The sequence below is a fragment of the Homo sapiens genome, chromosome 10 (assembly GCF_000001405.40).
Source record: "Homo sapiens chromosome 10, GRCh38.p14 Primary Assembly".
In the NCBI taxonomy this organism is placed as follows: domain Eukaryota; kingdom Metazoa; phylum Chordata; class Mammalia; order Primates; family Hominidae; genus Homo; species Homo sapiens.
This window is the reverse complement of record NC_000010.11, coordinates 121,506,594-121,529,298: the sequence shown is the minus strand read 5'-3', so window position 1 is coordinate 121,529,298 and position 22,705 is coordinate 121,506,594. Positions and strand designations below refer to the sequence as shown.

Below are 22,705 nucleotides of genomic sequence, written 5' to 3'. Positions count from 1 at the left end.
ATCTCTACTAAAAAATACAAAAATTAGCCAGGCGTGGTGTTGTGTGCCTGTAATCCCAGCTACTCGGGAGGCTGAGGCAGGAGAATCACTTGAACGTGGGAGGCGGAGGTTGCAGTGAGCTGAGATTGTGCCACTGCACTCCAGACTGGGTGACAGAGTGAGACTCCTTCTCAAAAACAAACAAAAAAAATTAAAATATTAAAAATTAGCCAGGCGTCATGGTGCACACCTGTAGTCCCAGTTATTCTAGAGGCTGAGGCAGGAGAATTGCTTGTACCCGGGAGGCAGAGGTTCCAGTGAGCTGAGATTGTGCCATTGCACTCCAGCCTGGGCAACAGAGCGAGACTCCATCTCAAAATAAATAAATAAATTTTACATTTTGGACTGAAAAAACAAAACCATTCTGTATGTGAGACTCTCACCGAGTGTTCATAGGGAGGGACTGGGGCTGGGGCCTGACTTGAGGCTTCCCATCTGGCTTGGACAGTGAGAAGAGCAGTGGCGTTTGGATTGAAGGCTTTTGTGATCTGGGTGACTATTTTGAAGTTTCTCTTTAGGTCATGCTGTACTTAGAAGTATCTAGAACCGTGATTATTTTCAGTTTCTGAGTTTCATCTCCAAGAAAACAAATGGGATTTATTGTTCAGCCTCTCATGTTATTCCTATCAAAGGGAGGCATTTCTTGTTTGCTCAGATGGGCTGAAAGCTTTTACTTCTGCTCGAACCGCCCTAGGAGCAAAACAAGGCATGTGAGAGAGATGAGCATGATAGATTTTCTAGACTTCTCTAGAAGAAAGGCTTTTTAGATGGTGAAGGTTGATGAAACCTGCCAGCATTTTTACAATGGACATCCCTCTATGTCTGCACATCTCAATCTCCTTCATTCTTACTAGTGGCCAATATGCTCTTCTTTCACGGATGTAGTACAATTCGTTTAATCATATTAAACAATATGATTGTTGTGCAGATCTTTTGTTTTCCAGTAAAAAAAACCCTACAGCGACAAGCTTTGTCCACACTTATTTAGTGGGCATCTGTGTGAATATTTTTCTAGGACAGATTTGTAAAGGTTGGTTAACTGGATCATTTTTGATAGATTTCAGTCAAACATTTTAAAGCTAAGGGGCCTTACTTACTTGGAGTGGTTGCTGTCTTTGACGGAGGGCTCCCCTGTGGTTTGGTTTTTAGCTTCTTTGCAAATCATTTGAGAGAAGATACTCTAATTGGGAGTTCACCCATTGTAATAAGAGGGTATACCTAATTCCTGGACATTAAAAAAGAACAAACTTTTCCAGCTCGAAGGAAACATTTTCTTCCCCTGAAGGAAACCCAGCTATGCAGACACCAGCTGATAATCTTGCATTCCTGAAAGATGTTGCACCCCTATGGCAAGTGGCGGCTGCTGAGGCTCTGACGTGACTCCCAGGCATGAACGCTCTCAGCTGTGTTTACCTCAGCTCCTCGGGAGGGAGCCTGGGAGACTGACGCCTGAGTTTTACATCAGTGTCAAAACCCAAGCACAACCTAGGGAGGGACCTCCTGCCTAGTGTGTGTGGGTCAGGAGATAGAAAAGCTCTCACTGAGTAAACTGGACAAGGTCAATATACCTCGCTGATTGAGAAGGTAGGTTTTCCATGACCCTAGAAATTGATCTTGTTCACTCTGAGATATTGTCACCTTTGTTATGTCTCCTTTTTAAAAAAAAATTGTGGTAAAATATACATAACATAAAATATACCTCTGTAACCATTTTTGAATGTGTAATTCATTTACATTAAGTACATTCAATTTGTTTTGCAATTATCATTATTGTTCATCTCCAGGACTTTTCCATCATCCCCAAACCATGACTCCTTTTAGCAAAAGAGACCAATTTCGAACGTAAATTTGGCATAATAACTCTCTGGTTACCAAAGAATCTTCAGTTCTGGTGAAACTTTTTGAAGGCAGAGAGCTCAGAGTGTCTTAAACACTTGGGGTGTAAATAACACACAGCCCTACTCCTGTAATTCGCCCAAGAAGACCCAAATTGATACCCAGCTGGTAGAAGCCACTCAACCCCAAGCCAAATAATACAGCCTGTAACATTAATTAGGGAAGGTACTAATAATACAGCCTGTAACATTAATTAGGGAAGGTACTTTGCCTCCACCTGCTTTGGTCTTCCCAGGCCCTGAGCCCAGCCAGCACTTTACTCTCTTCTTCACTTCATCGAGCAAGCACAAAGGCATTAGTGGTGTTTTGCTTCTAGCATTTCACAGGGTGCAGCCTCCATAAGTCACTTTGTGACTTTAGTGCTGGAGGGAGGACACTTCATTTTTACCCAAACAAGTTTGTTCCGCAGACTTCACTCTCTCTGCAAAGAGACGTGTGTGTTTTAGAGGAAGTGGGAGCCCCAGCCGATTCTGCAAGACTTCCGAGAGTCAGATATCCAGACAGAAGATGCGGACACCTGGGTGACCAGACAGCGAAGAGGAAAGAACAAAACGAGCATGTGCCAAGCCTGTGAGGGAGAAAGGGCAACAAACCAGTGACCTTCCACAGAAATGTGTTTAAACAAAACAAAACAGGTGATTCTGGGTGCCCAGCATCCCAGCCCACTCATCTATTCTAGGAGGTGACAAGCCAAGATACTGGCTGTGGGCACCTGGGCTCTTTCTGAAGGTGGTCTTCCTGGCCGTCATAGCGTTCCCTTTTTCTGCTAATCATTTTTAGTTCTGACCTTCCTTTGTGCTGATCTTCAGAAGCTGGAGAAAGCTTCGTATTTCTGGGAAAACAAAACAAAACTCAGAACCCAACGAGATTTAGCCTGTCAGGCTTGAGTGCGTTAGGTGGAGTCTTGACAAGGCAATGAACTCATTCTACTAATTGTAATTAGCGTGGGGCCTTTAGCAAGTTCTGGGCTCCTCAGACTTCAGAGAGCTTTGATCGGCCTCCTCCTCCTCCTAATAACCATGCCTCATGCTAACTGGTTTAGTGCGTTTTTATGCAACAAAAGCAACCACCGCCTACTCTTTAGAAAAAAGCTAGGCAGGCTTTAGAAAAAGAATTCTCAGTTGTTTTCACTTGTCCTCCAAATCGCAGAATGTTCTTTCCCTTTTCAGCTCTTTGGCGTTGCTAAGAGACTGCCATTTTGGAGGAAAGGTAATTAAATTTTGATTTTAATTTAAAGACAGAGCAAGCGAGGTTATCCACGCTCCTTACATGAATGGGGGCCTGAGAGCAGGAGACTGGCTGTTTCCAGATCAATACTGGGAACTCCGTGTGATTCGAGTCTCTTGGTGTGTGACTGCCGGAGAGAGGTGGCTTTGAAATGGCTCTTTGTGGCAAGTACTGCCTAACTTTTGGGGAGAAATGCTCAGGAGACCAGTGTGAGCTGGGAAACCAGCCACTCTGTGCTTGATTAATTTATAGGTGTAATTTAAGAGCCTGGTTCTCCTTCTGATCCCCGGGATGCATGTTTACTGAGCCTGTAGACATGAGGCCTCTCGGCTCGGTGGACATTTTTTATGGCCTTTGCTATGTCAGAGCAAAAGTTGTAGATCTCTTATGAGCAAACATATTACTATGTCCAGAGGAGGACTGGCATGTTATAAAATTTCAATGGTCAATTAACAAAGATTTATTCTTTGTCACTCAGGTATTTTTTTCCTCTCTCTCTCTCTCTCTCTCTCCCTCAATAATGACCTCTTGGAAGGAAGCAGGCTGTGCTTTCCTGCTGCAGTCTTTAGGTGGGTTATGGCTCCCAGCTACAGAGCAGGGCTTGACAGAGCCCATCCTGATATTTCAATTCTTAGCAGCTGGGCTTTCTGCTTTAGTAGAGTGGACACTTGAAGAAAGGGGGCGAGACCGAGAGTGAGAGAGAGAGAACGCTGGGAGAGAATGTATTTTTTAAAGCACTTCAGCCTGTGTTTACTACGCGTTTATTTGGTGGAACCTCATTCCAGCAGTGCAGCCAACTGTCCCGGCAGCAGTGGCCGCACCCTTTGGACTGCTTTCCATTCCGTCTTAATTTGGAATTCACACAGCCACCTTCCAATCACTCTTTTGAAGGTTCTCATCTTGTTCCAGGTCCATGCACTGTGCATTTGCAACCTGCTGAACCTCAGAACGTCTATTCTTATATGTGTATATATGTAATTAAAATTACAGTAAACAGAGGAGCTACTCATCAGCCTATTTTCCATGTGTTTATCTCACTCCCTTTGTAAAAAGGAAAATCTGTTTTATATAATATCTGAGAGTTAAACATGCTAGAAGAGAATCTTGCCTAAAACTGTAAATCCTTCCTGTCCTTCCTGGTGGAGAAGATGTGATTTTTGTTATCACATAGAAGAAGAGATGAACTAGCACTGGGCTTTAGTCTCTCGCCCAGAGATAATACATCAGGGGATTCTTTTTATATCAGTTTGTTGCAAAAAAGTTGCAAACTTGAGGGGTTTGGTTTGCCCAGGGACCGGGGAGGTTCCTGGTGGGGAGAACACATGAGCTCTTTGGGTCATCGTCCCCTTTGTCTCTGCCGTAGTGCCCGCTGGGCCAGGCCACGAAGGGGGCCCCCACTCTGCCCAGCCTGCATCCTCGTCCACCATCTGCACCCTGCCATCACCTCGGTTTTTCAGAAGTTAGGAAAGGAGTCCAGGCGCTGTCATCCACTTACTGTTCACTGTTTCTGAGGTTCTTAGGGATTCCGAGGGGTGGTGGATCGCTGAAGGGTTCGAGAGGAGGAGCGCAGCGTTCGGCAGATGCTGGCATCCTGGGCCCTTTTCCAAGACGTCCAGGCCTCCTCCTCCGACTTGTTTAAGGGCAGAGAATAAGGTTGCAAAGGAAATCAAAGCCTGATGTGGAGAAATGAAACATGAGACCTACTGACTTTTTAAAAACATTTTAAATAACATTCTCTAAGGTTTCATTTTATACTGAAGGCAGCTGTAATAAGTTTGGAAGACAGTGTAAGGTTTCTATTACAGAACAATCCTGCTTGCAGTTTTTCTACCAGAAGTGAGAAAGGGCGGAGGGGGAGTGGAGGTGGTTAAGAGGTTATTTTGTATAAGGTGAGAAAATTTGAAAAGATGAATTCAAGACTGCAAGCGTGTAACATTTGGTATGCTGTAATTTGCAAATGCAATAACATTAAACCATTGCAAACTTGGGGTGTGTGTGTGTGTGTGTGTGTGTGTGTGTGTGTGTGTGTGTGTGTATACATAGCCGGGATAGCATTGGAATAACTTAATAACTGGAGCTCAGCAGCACTTTGACCACAAGGAAAACAAGACTGCAGCTCTGTAGTGGGCCCTGCCAGTGTTGCCTCAGTGACTAAATTCCCTGCCGAAGCCTGGCGCAGGCCAGAGATGTCAGGCGGGATGAAAGCACTCATTGTTCACGGGGCATCATGGTTTGGTACTGCATGCACAATGTTTACTTGTGAAACGATTTATTAGAAACAAATATGTTTAAGAAAGAGGACTTGGTTTGAAACTCAGTTGATCTGGCTTATGACATTTAAGATTTTATGACCTTTGTTTCTAAGAATAGATGTGTAGGCCCACTGTAAATATTTATCTTAAAACGCACCCACACTACACACACACATGCATGTACAAGTGCAAAACTGGAAAACGGAGCCAGGGCATGAATTGATACTAAAGTTCACATTTCTGTGTGAAGGAATAAACCTTCTTACTATTTGCTAGGTGCATAGGAGCATAGTTTGTGACCTTGTCTGGCAGGATCTAGCCCAGAGGACAGCTTCCCCTCGTGCTGTGAAGTCTCTTGGTAGGAGGCCTGGGGAGGAGAGGAGCGTGTGTCTGTTCGTGCGCGGACTTAACTCTGCCCTTCCCACATGGATGAGGCCAGCTGGGATTAAATCAGACCTCGGTCACTGCCCGCTGTGGACAGGTCCCTGGGGTGTCCAGCCAGCTGCTAGGCCTGACCAGGAGGCTTGCTGGGGCCCATCCCTGGGTCATTGTATGAGCCAGAGAGCAAGGGTTTCACCTGACGTCTGAAGGGGCCCAGCTTTGAGATTTTCTGCCCACCAACACCAGAAGTCTTAACTTCAGGTTCTTTGCTCAGCCTACATGGGCAATATAGGGGCAGATGAATGATTTCTTTGCGGCTCCAGTATCCTTATCTTTATAATGTGAAAACATAGATGTCTGTAAAGTGATGGGAGATTCTGGAATGAAATGTGCTAAGAGTAACCACTAGCACTTTTTCTTTCTTTTTAAAGACCAGCAACAGGCTTATGCAGTAAAGTCAATTTGCACATGGTCTGGCTCTTGTCCAACAAATTCCACTAGATGATGTTTTAATCTGAAAGGTCCAATGATGTAGATATCTATTGTTCTAATTTGCTGTTTCCAGCCCAGTGCATGGTGATTCTCAGGTACAGTGCAGAGACATCCTTGGTGTGCTGAGCTGGCTGAGTTCTCCTCATTTCCCTCAGTTGTTTTTTAACACTGGAGGTTAGGGTAGTGGTACCCACACCTAGGGGAGGAAGAGAGGGAGGAGGCTGGTAAGTGCAGGCCTGTTGGGATGGAGTTGTATTCATGTATGGACACATGATTGTGTTTTGTGTGGCTTTTGACAGATCTGTGTAGGAAGGTTCCAGTAAGTTTGTACGACAAGATCAGGTAGCAGTCTGGTGGTCTGGTGGTTATTTAATTCTTTTTATTTTATTTCATTTTATTGTTGCAAGAATGCTAAGCATGAGAACTACCATCTCACCTAAGTTTTTTTTCTTTTCTAAGACGGGGTCTCACTCTGTTGCCCAGGCTGGAGTGCAATGGCATGATCGTGGCTCACTGCAGCCTCAACTTCCTGGGCTCAAGCCATTCTCTCACCTCAGTCCCAAGTACCTGGGACTACAGGCATGCACCACCATGTCTGGCTAACTTTTGTATTATTTGTAGAGATAGGGATCTTGCTATGTTGCCCAGGCTGGTCCCACACTCCTGGCCTCAAGCAATCCTCCTGCGTCAGCCTTCAAAGTTCTGGGATTATGCTCAAAGGCATGAACCACTGCGCCTGGTCTTCAACTAAGTTTTCAGTGTACAATACGTTGTTGTTGACTATAGGCACGATGCTGTGCAGCAGGTCTCTAGAGTTTGCTCATCTTGCTTTACTGAAACTTTATGCCTCTTGATTGCAACTCACCATTTCCTTCCCTGTCCCAGCCCCTGGCAACCACCGTTCCGCTCTTTGATTTTATGAATGCGATGAATTTAGATACCTCATATCAGTGGAGTCAGGCAGTGTCTGTCTTTCTGTGACTATCCTGTTTCACTTAGCATCATGGCTTCCACGTTGTCACATATTGCACCATTTCCTCCTTCTTCATGGCTGAATAGTATTCCGTTGTGTATATAGCCACATTGTAAAAATTAATCCTTTGGCAGACACTTAGATTGATTCCATTTCTTGGCTATTGTTAATGGTGCTGCAATTAATATAGGAGTGCAGATCCTGATTGCAGTTCTTTTAGATAAATAGAGAAGTGGGATTGCAGGATCTTAGGGTAGTTCTGTTTTTAATTTTTTGAGGAACCTCCATATTGTTTTCCATGGTGGCTGCATCATTTTATATTCCCACCAACAGTGCGCAGGGGTTCCAGTGTCTCCACATCCTTGCCGACACTTGTCTTTTTTTTTTTTTCTTCCCATCCTGACAGGTGTCATGTGATAGCTCCTTGTGGTTTTGATTTGGAACGCGCCCGATCTCGTCTGATTTGCATTTCTCTAATGATTAGTGACATTGAGAAACTTTTCATACACCTAGTGGCCATTTGTGTCTTGGAGAAATGCATAGTTAAGTCCTTAGCCCATTTTTCCATGGGTATTACTTAACACTTGAGGAGTCTCATGTGTGGTTGCTAGCACACCTTGGCTTGATTGTCTCCACAAAAGTTTTGCAGAGACCGCCTCTTAGCTGGAGAGAAGCCTTTCCAGGCATAAGATGAGAGGGTGTATTCTTTGTTGAGAACGTGTTCTCGAAGGAGAGAGAGGCAAGACAAGTGAAGCTAGGAAGTAATTTTGGGATACCATCTCTGCCCTTTTATAGGGCAGTCTAAAACATAGCCAGGAGTTGGAAACCAGCATCTCCTTATGTTTCATTCAGTGCCATATTGGAATAAGCTAAGAAACATCTACTTGTGCATTTAGTAACTGGCATAGAGTAACACCTGATATTCATCAAAGAGCTAAATGGGTGAATAAAGAATGAATGAATGGAGTGAATTCCACAATAAAGAGGTGAATCCCATTATTAATCAAATCTGTTCATAACTTTGGGCTTTAGGCTTTAGTTTAATTTTTAAAACAAAGGTTGGAAGTCTTCTCAGAGCATCTTAGAAATGTACTGGAGCCGAGCGTGGTGGCTCACGTCTGTAATCCCAGCAATTTGGGAGGCCAAGGCAGGTGGATCGCTTGAGCATAGGAGTTTGAGACCAGCCCAGGCAACATGATGAAATCCTCTTTCTATAAAACATTTGAAAGTCAGCTGGGCGTGGTGGCGGTTGCCTGTAGTCCCAGCTACTCAGGAGGCTGAGGTTGGAGAATCACCTGAGCCTGGGAGGCTGAGGCTGCAGTGAGCCGTGATCATGCCACTGCACTCCAGCCTGGGCAATGAAGTGAGACCCCGTCTGAGAAAAGAAAAAAAAATGTATTGGGAGACATGTGCCTATTGAAACCATTTTTGGTATTCAGAGTGTCTTTAAAGTTAGTCTTGTCATTTGCCTGTGATGTTAAGCTTGTGGTTGAGGTGAGTTTTTGAGATTATCTCAAATAGGATAAGTGAAGAAGCTTCCCTCCCCTACCATTTGTCACTTAGATTGTCAGAGTAGAATTTCTTCCCGTATTCATCAGGTGGCAGTGGACAGCCAATAACCTGGGATGTAATAAGTTCTTTTCTCAATTTTCTAAGTAAGTGTTCTTTTTACAAGGGTCGCGCTCCGGCAGTCTCCTTTGAAGTCGTTTCTGTTATTCATGGGGCCACAGTGTTATTTCAAAGGTGTCAGCCAGCAGGCTTGAGGCTTTTCTGGCATGAGGTCACTGACAGCCCTCTGGACAACACAGCTTATTTATTGGTCTCTCATTCTCCCATCCCCACTCCTCCTTTCTTCCCTCTCTCCACCAGAGCGATCGCCTCACCGGCCCATCCTCCAAGCCGGACTGCCGGCAAATGCCTCCACAGTGGTCGGAGGAGACGTAGAGTTTGTCTGCAAGGTTTACAGTGATGCCCAGCCCCACATCCAGTGGATCAAGCACGTGGAAAAGAACGGCAGTAAATACGGGCCCGACGGGCTGCCCTACCTCAAGGTTCTCAAGGTGAGGACTTTCTGAATCTAAAGGTACCCACAACTGGGGTCTCCTTCATGGGTTTGGCCACAGGTTCTTTGATTTCCTGTTGGAGTTGAGAGAGGATGATTCTCTTTTTTGACTAGCCAGCAGAGAGTGTTCTAAGGAATTAACAGATCATTACACTTGCTAGTAGAATTTCAGAAGGGAACTATGGAGTAGGGGAAGAACTACTAAACTTGGGGAAGAACTACTAAACTTGGAGAGAGAATAGTTCAGCTATTTATCAGCCCTGAGATCGCAGACATTTAGGCTTAGCTGCGCCTCTATAAAAGTAGAGATCGTGATACTCTGTCCCCCATAGGGCGGTTGTGCAGAATAAATGGGATGGAGTGGATGGAAAGAGCTTTGTAGGCTCAAGGCATTGTGCCAGTGTTGATTGTTACTCTGATGTTGTTTTCTATTAATAGGACATTAGGATCCAATTTTAGTAGCCACGTTTTAGAAACAATTTGGATTTTTTTTTTAACAAAAACAAAACAAAACAAAACCCTGACCTTTGAAATCCATTCAGAGGTGATTTAGACAATAAACTCTAGGTCATATTTCTGCACCAGTGAAATGTTGAACAAGGAAAATATCTTTCCCTCCTTATTTCTTATTTGCAAGCCCCCATTTTCATAGCATCTGCCTCTTTTTTAGATCTAGGTTTGCTCTTCAGGAGACTGAGGACAGGGGCAGCTAAGTCTGTACAGCTGGCTCTTAACTCCTTGCCTACCACGCCTCCCATGTCTAGTTGCTCATGGAGAATGAATGTCCTTAAGAAGAACATTCTTCCAGTAGAACCATAGGTGACCCAGCTAAGAACTTTCAGCCAATGAAGTGTTCTCACCAGCTAATAATTCCAAGGATCAAAGGCATTGGGAAAAGATGACCAACCTGGGGACCCACCCGACCTATCCAGTTAGCTATCGCTCACACCCTCCTGCCCTTCTCTCCACCAGGTCTTTCCGTTGTCCACCACTGGACTGATTTTGTTCTTTAAAATCCGCAGCCCTTTAATGCCGCTGTTTAGACGTAATGGAGTTTGTTTTCTTGCGGTGTGTTGGTGGTGGGACCATAGACAATGCTAAGACCTTCCTGGTTGGCCGTTATATTGTTCTCCTGTGTCTGTTCTAGCACTCGGGGATAAATAGTTCCAATGCAGAAGTGCTGGCTCTGTTCAATGTGACCGAGGCGGATGCTGGGGAATATATATGTAAGGTCTCCAATTATATAGGGCAGGCCAACCAGTCTGCCTGGCTCACTGTCCTGCCAAAACAGCAAGGTAACAATGCTTTCATTTTTGTCTTTTTTTAAAAAGAAAGCTGGATATAGAAGCTGAAAAGACTTGGTGCTTTGGGAGACTGCAGGCAGCTTATAGGATAACTCTTGTGGCCTTGGTATATTTATAATAATCTTTCTTCGGTGATGCAGCTGGTATGATGCCAGTAGCCATGGAAAAATGCCCACAACGTTCAAAGTGCTTGCTCCAATTTCTTCTAGAGATTAGCCTCCACCCCCACCCAGTTTTTAAGTTGTTCCTTCTGGTTGATCTTGTTTAGGCTGCACATTTCCCATCATTACTGCACATTAACACCATTTAAAACACACGCTTCCATGCCTGTTTAATACGGGGCATTTGAGTATCAGCAGAGTTTGTCTCCTTCTACTTCAAGTTTTTAGGGAAATATTGGCAAGATGCAATTTGTTCAACAAAGCATCATTTCTTTGGTTGCATGGTTGATCCTTATGAGTTGCTGTTCTTGACCTTGTTGCACCAAATTTGAGGGGAGCTCATCTTAATGAATGTACTACTGGACGCTACTAAAGGCAAAAGGTTGACTTTTTAGGTTTGTCATGACTCACATCCAAATGTTTATTAATGAAAAGAGAAAAAGCCCAGTTTTTTTGGTTACCAAGATGATGCTTGCTTCCATTTCTTTTTGTCAATGCTATGTAGGGCAAGATGGTATCGCAGAAGTAAAAATAACCAGAGCCTGGTAACCAAGACAACCTTCCACCCCAATTGGTTCCCACAGGGCCAGGAGGATGGGTGAGGTGTCCATCTGGGCTTATGTGCAGTGTGTTGTCTTAAAACACAGCAATTTAGATAGAACTACCCTTTCCTCTTGGTGGGAGTCTGCAGCCAACAGGACCAGAACCAGCTTGGCCTTCTGGGCACCATACTTTTGGAAAACCACCCCTAAATGCAAACCAAAGCACAGGCCAAGAGAACGGACCTCTGTGGGTTGATTTTTTCCATGCGTTTGATTGCGTGCATGTGTAGGAGGTGAAGCCGGTGTGGTGACGGGCCTGTGGAGGTGAGCTGGTCAGTGTTGCTCCGTGTCTCTCGGTTGTGGGCTTTGTGGATGGGCTGCAGTCGGAATCTCCCAGTGGCCAGCACCCCCTGAAGCCCCCGGTGCGACGCCTTGTGGTTCCACAGCCCCCTCCACAATCATTCCTGTGTCGTCTAGCCTTTTCTTTTGCTTCCCTTGTTTTCTAGGCCGCCGGTGTTAACACCACGGACAAAGAGATTGAGGTTCTCTATATTCGGAATGTAACTTTTGAGGACGCTGGGGAATATACGTGCTTGGCGGGTAATTCTATTGGGATATCCTTTCACTCTGCATGGTTGACAGTTCTGCCAGGTATATACTGTTCTTTCTCTCTGGGTTTTTTTCCCTTTTCTTGGTTGACTGCTATAAAATTAACACAGCTTCTGTTATCAGAAATGGCCCCTTTTATCCTTGCATAAAGATATAAAAAATGTTAAAAATGATCCCTCAGGGATAAGAAAACTGCCTTGGAAATTCACACACAGTGAGATCCCACACTCACATTTATGATCAAGGGAAATTTCACCCTTAAAACCTGAAGGGATCTCATATTTTTAGTGAGTCATTGAGCCAATGTATAAATTAGCCCATCCCCCTTTCTCTTAAGGAACAAGTTGCCATTACTTTGGTAAAATTCAAAGTAATTTATTCTCATTTCAAATTCCATTTTGCTAAAATCCTGTATGTGTTTTTATTGCTTTCATCCCACTTTGTATTTTTAACGAGATGTAAATAGAGGGATGTGTATGGAGGAGCCTGGGGAGCGGCACCTCTGAATGTCAGATGCACAGAAGCAGTGTGTTGCCTACCTTGGGGATCGGTGGCTTGCTGCATGTTGCGATAGGATGGACTTTCGGTTTGCTTTCATTGCAAAGCATGCTCCTGCCATCTTGGGCTTGATGTTATTTCTGCCTCACAGAGAAATAAACATCATTGCAGCCCTGTTGCCTAAACATTGCTGCTGTCTGAATCTTTAACCGACATCTCTATTCTAGTGAAACTTTCTTGAAATTAAACACTGTCCTCTCTGATGCATCTGCCTCTTTGTCATTTCCTTTGTGAAACTGCAGAGACTGTGGTTTGCTAGCTTATGATGTTCCACTCCAGTTATTAATTCCTTGTTTTTAGAGTACAGTGCTTACCTGCATGCTTATTTTACATCTAGTAAAAATAAAATAGATCGTTTCATTTTTGTGCTGTTGCTGCTGAGAGTTTTGACTATCTTGCAAGTATTTTTCTGATTAAAATGTATAAGCTTTCAATAATACCATTGCATCCGTTTTTCCTTTTGTTGCGAATCTGCTCTGTGAATATTTGCTTTGAAACAAAGAGATGTCTCTTATGTTGAAGCTTGCTTTTATTTGCAGTACTGCATTCTGTGGTGCCTAACTGGCACTTCTTAACCAGTTTGCCTGACAGTGCTAGCACTTAACTAAGAATGCAGTTTGAGAAAAACACTATTTGGAAATACACTGCTTGTAGATGGATCATCGAGGACTAAGAAGAAGTCAGACATTGGAAGTTGATATAAAAATGTGCTAAATTAAGTAATTATATGTATACTCACACATAATACCTTTATGTTTTTTCTTTAAGAGAAAAGCTGTAGTGACATAACAATATAACCGGATATGTATAAACTTAAAAGGTTATTAAAGAATATTATAATCTTTATGTATTATGGATCTAATGGTTCTATATTATAAGCAATTCAATCTGTGTATTTAATGCATTGGTTTGTTTATGGACTAGATGGTATTAAGGAATTCACCAAAACTTTTTCAGACCAGCCTACTAGATGAACATCAGTTTCATATGGAATTGTGTTCATCCGGGTTAAATTATCCTGTGGAGTCTTCCTTTGGAAGAGCCTACCCATGTAAGACTGAAGCATTGTCACTGTCTCCTTAGAAACAAAAGTGGGCATCGTTGATATTTCAGAATTTTTTATTTGGTTTGCATTCACAGACGATCATGAAAGATAATCCTTTCATTGTGGGTACAGTTGGTCGTCCTCCACTGAAATGTCTAACAAAATGTGGCCTCATAGCCTGCCCTGTGCAACTGGGTGTCAACCACTCACTGGATTGCAGGTGCCCACTGAGGCTAGTGACAGTGACTACCTGGGTCCTGGTGGTCAAATGATGGACCCCTGGTTATTCATTTTCATTTGGGAGTTTTTGGGAAGCCCACCTTGCCTTGAGAATGGTCGTCGCCTTTTGGTTCCTTTGGTTGTGCTATGATGCGTCAGTCTGGTGTGCTAACTCTATGGCCTGCTTATCTGTTCCTCCTCCTGTGATCTGCAATCTAGCGCCTGGAAGAGAAAAGGAGATTACAGCTTCCCCAGACTACCTGGAGATAGCCATTTACTGCATAGGGGTCTTCTTAATCGCCTGTATGGTGGTAACAGTCATCCTGTGCCGAATGAAGAACACGACCAAGAAGCCAGACTTCAGCAGCCAGCCGGCTGTGCACAAGCTGACCAAACGTATCCCCCTGCGGAGACAGGTAACAGAAAGTAGATAAAGAGTTTAAAGAAATTTACTCCTCCCCCATGACCCAGCCAGCTTGTGGATCTTGTCCTCTGCTTTGATGCCATCGACTTCTGTGAGCTTCCATGTGCGAGTGATTCTGGTGTGATGCTTGGCGGTCACCCAGTTAGTGTTTGGAGCTTGGAGAGTCTAGTCATGGTGCGTTGCTTGGATCAATGGGGTCCAGTTCCAAGGGCAAGAAAGGACAATACTGTCAGAATCAGAAAACTAATCAGCAGGACTGGAAATAACTGGAGGCAAATCCCCCTGTGTGTGTTTGATCAGACTCAAGTACAGCGGTCTCTTCGAAGCTTTAGCCACATTCGTGTCCTGTGATCTAATACCTTTTTTAAGATAAGCATGAACATTCGCTTGGGACTTATGCCACTAGTACGAAAGAGACTCTAAGTTCTCTGACTTATTTTTTAAAGTCAAGATCAGTATCTTATGCCCTGGGGGTGCATCTGAACTGTTTGATTTAAACTGTTGCACAATAACTTTCTACACAGAATTTTGGCTTAACCTCTTTGCAATTTACAATAGAATTGTATGCATCTATTATGTCTCATTGTTAGTAGTTCACAGGTGTGGCTGTGGATTTATTAGTAGAATATTTGTATGGAACCAGCAACAGATTGTTTTTAACCACCAACTTGGTCTTTGGTGGTTGCTTTTTGCTTGTGTGTGCCTCCTGATTGGTTTAATTTTGCTTTGGGGGAGATGGGGCAAGATGGAGCCTCTGGTGTAAACCAAAGCCCTGCATAGGTAGGTGGGACAGGAAATGCCTCAGCTCTTTTCTGCTTATTCACAGAGATGGAAGCGGAAGGCAGATGTAGATGCAGAACGTTTACAAAAGCATTTGAAACTTGGTTCTGATAAAGGTTTCTTTTGAAATAGCAAGTAAAACAGCAAACTCATTGGCTCTATTTCAGTGTGTATTTTAGTAAAATGTACGGGGTGCTTGTTAAAATTTCAGATTCCTTTGTCTCAGCCCCAGAGATTCTTGTTCAGTCATCTTGGATAGGGCCAGGAATCTGCATTTTACACAAGCCCTATGGTGATTTTAGAATGCACTTTGAGAAACTCCAGGTTAATTCCAGGCATGCCTCTCCCGGGACTTCAGGTAGGAATGACATTTTCTGGACAAGGCATTAGGAAGGATTAGGAACCAGTTGGTCAGCAGTGGTTTTGGAATGGGTCTGGTTGTTCACAACCCAGCTTCAAACTCCTGGCTGAATGGGTCCTTGTTAACTTCTCTAAAGCCATGTTTCAAGCAGGTCTTTCTTTGTGGAGACGGAGGATAGAATTTAAAGTGTGTGTCAAGCGTAGGCGAATGACCAAATTGTGTTAACAGCATGGAAAAGAGGGGCCTGTTGGGTCACGTCTGCCACCAAGAATGCTGTTGTCATTTTGAGTGACATGATTATCTTTCTTGGGGCCAGGAAAGCAAAGATGAGGCCAGTTGGCCAACCAGTTTCTAGAAGAGTCCAGTCCTGAGATAACTCTTACATGGTTTCTATTATTTTTTTTCTAATAGGGAAAAATGGTAACTTCTGGAGGCAACTTGTAATTTGGCATAGCTAGGCCACTGCCCCTTAATTATCTCATCATCTTTTTTTCTGCAACTGTTAAAATGCTTTTCTTTTTACTTAATATAGAAGGGTAAGATGCCCTTAAAATCCCCCTGACTCAGCCACAGTCATCGTGTTTTCTTTCCCCAGTGCCAGCTGGCTTTTCTTCACTGTCCATCTAAGAATACAGTTTGAGAAAAATAGTATTTGGAAATATACTGCTTGTGGATGGATCCTTGAGGACTAAGAAGAGGGCAGACATTGGAAGTTGACATAAGAATGTTCTAAATTAAGTAATTATATGTATACTCACATGCAATACCATTTATATTTTTTCTTTAAGAGAATTCAGCCTGGCCGGGCGTGGTGGCTCACGCCTGTAATCCCAGCACTTTGGGAGGCTGAGGCGCGTGGATCACCCGAGGTCAGGAGTTCGAGACCATCCAGCCTGACTAACATGTTGAAACCTCGTCTCTACTAAAAGTACAAAAATTAGCTGGGTGTGGTGGTGCATGCCTGTAGTCCCAGCTGCTTGGGAGGCTGAGGCAGGAGAATCACTTGAACCTGGGAGGTGGAGGTTGCAATGAGCCAAGATCACACCATTGCGCTCCAGCCTGGGCAACAAGAGTAAAACTCCGTCTTTAAAAAAAAAGAGAGAGAATTCAGCCTAAGTTGGTCCTTTTTCCTCTCTTCCCTGTGTTACCAGAGGGAACATCAGAGTTCCTTCCTCTTTTTCTTCCCTCCTTCCTTTATTTATTCATCATAATTTACTAAGTGCGGGGTATAAATCAGGTTACATGTAAGACACAGCCTGTCACATTCACCAGTGGTTCCAAGGTTATTTGATGGTAAATGCCTGTAATCCTAGCTCCACAGGAGGCTGAAGCGGGAGGATCCTTTGAACCCAGGAGTTCAAGACCAGCCTGACCAACACAGCGAGACTCCAACTCAAAAAACAAAACAAAACAAAACAAAACAAAAACCCAAAGTGGGAAAAAAAAGAAAATGTAATTGGCTTGTGTTCAGTAGGGCCGAGGAGTATAACAGAAGCAGAGGAAAGGGGGCAAATACCAGTTCCCTGGAAAAGTACATCTCTGCGAGATTAATTTATTTGGGGGGAATGTTGACACACCTCAGCTCCTTCTACATGTCCAAGTGGGGTACATTATTGGATCTTCACAAAGAATGTTTCATCAGTACGCATGGCCCCTTTGGTAGAGAAAGAGATGCTTATCGGGTATCTGGATAAAAGAGGGTTATTGGACTGGAGCTGGAATGAAAAGCCCCAGAAAGGCCTGCAGATACGTTGATGACAGAGCAAATACCACAGGGATGCCAAGCATGCCTTTACCTGAGCCTCTAATCAGATGTGTCAAGGATGGGTTGTTTCTAGGCATTTATGAGGCCACTTTTTATTCTGTGTTGGCCAGTCTCCTCTAGGACACAGGGATCACTCAGTGTCTCCATGGCCCTGACTCTTTCCCTCTCCAACACCCATACACACACAGCGTCTCACTCAGGTCCCTCAGTCCATCCTTGTTCTCTTTTCAGGACAAGAAAAGTTGGGTTTTCGTTCCTCCTGTGAGTTTTTCCTTCTTGGCATTTATTAATTTGCACTAGACTTACTGGTGTAACACAGACGTTTCAGTTTATGTTATTTTTTTGAGCAAAAATATTTTTTTCCAGTACCAAAGAAGAAATTCCTTGCAATCATTTCCTAGTAAGCGTGAATTTTTTGAGACTTTGTATGCACATGGTTGAAGAAGGAGAAGCAACTTTTGGGTGGTGGGAGGCAGATGGCAGGTGGCATCTCCCTGTGTCCTTTGATGGAGGCTCATGTCACATTCAGTGTCAGGGCTTGGGCACCGTGCCAGACACTGCTCACCCACTCCCACTCCTTTGGTGCCCAGCGAGTTAAATGAGACCAACAACAGCCAGCCCAGAGAGGGGCATCTTTGTGAGCGTGTTGGTTCTGGTACAGGTATGCTGGACAGCCAGTGACCAGTGTGAAGCAGCCTTTGTGAGTTAAAGGGGGCAGCATTACTTTCTGTGTTTTCCACACATCAATTGGGTGGTGGGGGAAGGTGTAGGGGTGGGTGGAGGATGGAGTGCAGAGGAAACTGAGGATGCCTGTTTAGGAGACGTGCGGTGTTGCTGGGTTTGCTGAATCAGTTTTACATCGAGCACATCAGTTTCTTTCTCTGGGGCTTGAAGCTTCCATAGGGTAGGATGGAGATTTAACTGTCTTATGGTTGGCTCCGTCCAGATAAATTCATCTCCTGTGCAGCTTACACCCTCTCTCACTGCCGTCAGCATGGTACAAGAGGCTGCAGGGTGGTTTTTTTTTTGTTTTTTTCAGACTTTAGTTTCACCTTCTCAGCTGCTGATATAGGTAGGCTGAAAACCAGAGAAAAATCAAGAGCAGACTGGGTGCCGTGGCTCATGCCTGTAATCCCAGCACTTTGGGAGACCAAGACAGGCAGATCACCTGCAGTCAGGAGTTCTAGACCAGCCTGGCCAACATATAGTGAAACCCCATCTCCACTAAAAAATACAAAAATTAGCTGGGTGTGGTGATGCATGCCTGTAGTCTCAGCTACTTGGGAAACTAAGGCAGGAGAATCACTAGAACCCAGGAGGTAGAGGTTGCAGTGAGCTGAGATCGCGCCACTGCACTCCAGCCTTGGTGACAGAGTGATACTCCGTCTCACACAAATAAAATAAAATAAAATAAAATAAAATAAAATAAATCAAGGGCAGTGAAGGCTACCTTTTGTAGCAATACTTTTGAGGCAAATGGCATATTCCTGGGGACGTTAGGAATAGGACCAAGATGAAGGGGGAGGAGCGGAGCGGGTGCCTCGGGGGAGGAATGTGTGACTCAGTAGCCAGTTCTCAGGTCCAGTGTTAGTGATCCTCAAACATATGCCAAATTCCGGGAAGGGGGATGGATGTTCTACTCCCAGAAGCTCGTTTACTGCCTGGCAGCTGAACATCATGATCTGGGAATATTCTCTGTATTTTGGTCAATCAGGTGGTCTAAACCTTACCGGCTCCAGAAAACATTTGGGTAATTAGAGTGGTCACGGATGACTTAACTGGAATCTGCCCTTTCATGTGGGCACCTCATCCTCCCTGCCCCTATTTCGCTGCTCCCTTTTCTCCTCTCTCAGCCTCCAAAGGACATGACAGTTTGCCCAAGATCTGACCTGGACCTTGGCTGATGCGATCTCTCGAGCAGAGCCAGCGCATCTGGGGCTGGTGCGTCATGGCTCTGATAGGTTTACTCACAGAGTCCCAGGGAAAGGCCTGCGGGAGGCAGAGACTCGCTATGGGAGAAAAGTGAGTGTCTGATGAACTGCCTTGCCTAATTACCTAAATTTTGTTATGGAGGAATTAAAAATGCAACTTCAGAAGCCTTTGAAGGTTTATCTCAGGCACCCAGCTTGCGGTGGTGAAAGCATTTTGTTTGGCCATAGGGGAGTGGTGGGCAAGGCTTATATTAGAGCAGAAGTATGTTAATGCCAGCCTCGTGTTCTTGTGGGGGAAGGTGGTTTGCAGCCTAAGAGTCACAGGGCCTGTTTGGCAGGCTGTGGTCCAAGTGTGTTTGTCAGTCCTGGGGAGTAAACACACAAATATTAATTCGTCTCTTCTCCCTGGAACATCTTTGCTTCTGCTTGCTCTGTTCTCTGAGAAATCCCCTCTAGATGGTAAATTTAATTCAGTATAAAGAGATAACACTGTTAGACCGGGCGCAGTGGCCCACACCTGTAATCCCAGCACTTTGGGAGGCCGACGTAGGTGGATCACCTGAGGTCAGGAGTTCGAGACCAGCCTGACCAGCGTGATGAAACCATGTGTCTACTAAAAATACAAAATTAGCTGGGCGTGGTGGTACATGCCTGTAATCCCAGCTACTTGGGAGGCTGAGGCAGGAGAATCACTTGAACCCGGTAGGCGGGGGTTGCAGTGAGCCAAGATCGTGCCTGGATAATGAGAGTGAAACTCTGTCTCAAACCAAAAAAAAAAAAAAAAAAAAAAAAAAAGAAAAGAAACAGATAACACTGTTTCTTGGTGGCCCTTTAAAAAGAAAGGAAAAAAAAAAAACACTTCCTCACTTAATCTCCCATATGTACTATGGAAATGTACGAAAAGCACATTTACTTAAAAGCTTGACTTATGGCACATGCTGGAGAGATTCCGGAAAGTGAGGAAATGGAATTGGAGTCTGTGAAAATACATGCTTAAAAAAAAATGCCTGCCAAGATTCGGGAGTGGGAAAACAGTTTACTAGAGTGTTCGTGTTGATTGTTTATAAGTAACTCACTTATCACTAACAAGAGAATATGTTAAAATTGGTTAGGAATGAAACTCTGGAATTGAAGTTTCTAGGTAGGAATTGAAGAATAAGGAAGATTATGATTTTGTGCAAAAGAAAAGAGAATTTAATAGTGCTAAAGAAGTAGAAGGATTTCAGAGATGAGCAGTGGGAGTTATTTGAGGTTCCTGATTCAGAGGAAAGATGCCCAGTAAAACATGGAGTCCCACAGGGGAATGGCCTGCCCAGGACCGGGCCAAGCCCCCAACACAGGCTCGCTCTTGGAGTGGAAGGGAATGAAGAGAAAGCCAGCCGTATTTTATAGCCCCAGAGGGGATTTTAAAAGCATAGTAAAAATGCATGGAGGTAAAATTAAGATATACCTCAGTAGACAGAGCAATCAAATTCTATAGTTTCTTAGACTTTGCACGTTTTCTTACCCTTTTCCCCCGTTTCGTGTTCTTATAAAAGTATTTTCCAGGTTTGTACATTTAATCTGAATCTCCGTACTTCATCTGAACAAAATTCCCGTAAGTCATCCTTCTTGTAGACCTCATTTTTAAAATTCTAATAATAATGACAATAAAGTTGATAAAGGCTTTCTTATTTATTTATTTTTAGGCTTTCCATTTGAAAAGCTGTCACATGAAAATCTTCTCGAGACAGTCTGTTTGGGGGATGGTGTAGATACATGTGAACTTTTGCCAGGGGTTTGTGGATGCAGATTCCTTTGGGGTCATGGGTGAGCCATAGAGGGGTGAACTTCAGACTGAATGTTAAATTTTTCTCTTCTGAGGTAACCCCTAAGCCATATTTGTCATTAGGACCCTCTTACTGTCCAGTTTTCCTCCTGCCCTGAGATGATTCCCTGACTCCTGGATTCTTCATCTCCTGCTTACTAGAACCCCAGCCCATCCTTGGCAGTGAGCAGAGGGCCTCATCTAGCAAATCAGACATGCCCACTAAGGCATATCTTCTGCAGTCAGCCTTTAATGTCACTGGGTTATCTTCCTGGTTGCACACAGTTTGACAGTACAATCGTCGCTTGGTATGCGTTGGGGATTGGTTCTAACAACCCCGAATATACCAAAATCTGTGGATGCCCAAGACCTTTATTTAAAATGGTGTAGTATTTGCATATGAACTGTGTACATCCTCTCATATACTTAGTCATTTCTAGTGATACCTGTAATAACTAACGCGTTGTAAATGCTATGTAAATAGTTGTTATACTGTATTGTTTTTTATTTGTATTTTAAAATTGTTGTATTGTTATTTTTTATTAATTAGCTTTCAAATATTTTTGATCTGTGATTGGTTGAAACCATGAATGCGGAACCCACAGATATGGAGGACTGACTGTATCTTACACACAGAACCACCCTAGGCTCCAAACGCTCCAAGTTACCCAGAGAGAAGTGTCTTTGTCTGTTCTCTCAGATCTGGGCAGCAAATGATTCTAAAGGGACTAAGAGAAAATATTGCAGTGTTGGTAGCAGACATTAACTGAGCTCTTAGTGCCAGGCCTAGCACTAAGCACTTCATCAGTTTTTTTTTCCCTCATTTTATCATCACATTAATGCTGTGCAGTTGGACCTGTTCCTGTCTCCTCTTTTCTTTTTTGAGATGGAGTCTTGCTCTGTCGCCCAGACTGCAGTGCAGTGGCACCATCTCGGCTCACCGCAACCTCTGCCTCCCAGGTTCAAGCAATTCTCCTGCCTCAGCCTCCCCAGTAGCTGGGGTTACAGGCACTCACCACCATGCCCGGCTAACTTTTCTATCTTTAGTAGAGACAGGGTTTCACCATGTTGGTCAGGCTGGTCTCGAACTCCTGACCTCAGAAGATCTGCCCACCTTGGCTTCCCAAAGTGCTAGGATTACAGGTGTGAGCCACTCTGCCTGGCCCCTGTCTTGTTTTTAACAGATGAGGAAACCCAGGTCTAGAAAGGTTAAGTGATTTCCCAAAGCTCACACAGTGAGTGAGTGCTCAAACTGGGACAGGGACCCTGACAATCTGACCGCACAGTCCCATGTTATTGCAGTTGGTCAGGATGCAGCCTGCCTAATGCGGGGCCTCATGTTGTGAATGATGAGCACAGGAAGGGCAGCAACGGGATTGGCTGTTGCCCACATCGAAGGATGCAGAGATGCCACAAAACCTAGCCTGGTAGCAGAAGGAAGGGCCGAAAGCAGTGATCTTGTAAGTTTTCACTCATTTTAGAAGTCAGCATATTTCAAGCATATGCCCTTCGTTTTCTTTTCCGTTGTTCATGCCTCAGCTCAGATCCTTATTATTCTAAAAAATATTTTTGTTAAATAAAGTACTTCTTCTAGAACATAAAAGAATTACATACACATGGTCATAAAATCCAAATGGTCTAGAAAGTTCTGAAATAAAATGTATTTTCTACCCCCTCTCTCAACTCCTAATCTCTCTGCCCACAGGTGATCACTGCTAAGTCTCTTATATATCCTTCCAGAAACGTTTAAGTGCCCTTGTTCTCACACCTCGCTGTGGGACAGCTGCCTTCCCCACATCCTATTCTGTGAGCCTCGCTGATGAGAGCGGTGATTTTCAGGGAGGAGGCACAGAAGCCCAGCCATGCCTCTGCCTCTG

At 44.1% G+C, this 22,705-nt stretch overlaps 1 protein-coding gene across 23 annotated transcripts in view, besides 2 other annotated features; it reads left to right on the top strand.

The window, feature by feature from the left end:
• Positions 1-22,705, top strand: part of FGFR2 (fibroblast growth factor receptor 2) — a 120,129-nt gene that overhangs the window by 69,160 nt on the left and 28,264 nt on the right. For 6 of the 23 annotated variants that reach the window (XM_024447891.2, XM_024447890.2, XM_006717710.5 and 3 more), the window contains 3 exons: positions 9,130-9,320; positions 10,470-10,617; positions 13,980-14,182. In XM_024447891.2, the coding sequence (XP_024303659.1) occupies positions 9,130-9,320; positions 10,470-10,617; positions 13,980-14,182 (542 nt within the window). Of the gene's footprint in view, positions 1-1,295; positions 1,624-2,344; positions 2,571-3,104; positions 3,145-9,129; positions 9,321-10,469; positions 10,618-11,835; positions 11,981-13,979; positions 14,183-22,705 lie in introns of all 23 variants that reach the window. The other 17 variants (XM_017015921.3, NM_001144918.2, NM_001441091.1 and 14 more) reach the window with 7 other exon arrangements.
• Positions 10,739-10,908: an enhancer, noted in NCBI's record as "experimental_10566 CRE fragment used in MPRA reporter constructs". NCBI's record gives its function as "activates a minimal promoter by MPRAs in K562 erythroleukemia cells, with activity observed for both the introgressed and non-introgressed 10:123277990 variant alleles {active_cell/tissue: K562}" and the evidence as "EXISTENCE:reporter gene assay evidence [ECO:0000049][PMID:34662402]".
• Positions 17,898-18,413: an enhancer, noted in NCBI's record as "H3K4me1 hESC enhancer chr10:123270400-123270915 (GRCh37/hg19 assembly coordinates)". NCBI's record gives its function as "activates a minimal SCP1, AML or CMV promoter by ChIP-STARR-seq in primed H9 embryonic stem cells {active_cell/tissue: H9 hESC(primed)}" and the evidence as "EXISTENCE:reporter gene assay evidence [ECO:0000049][PMID:30033119]".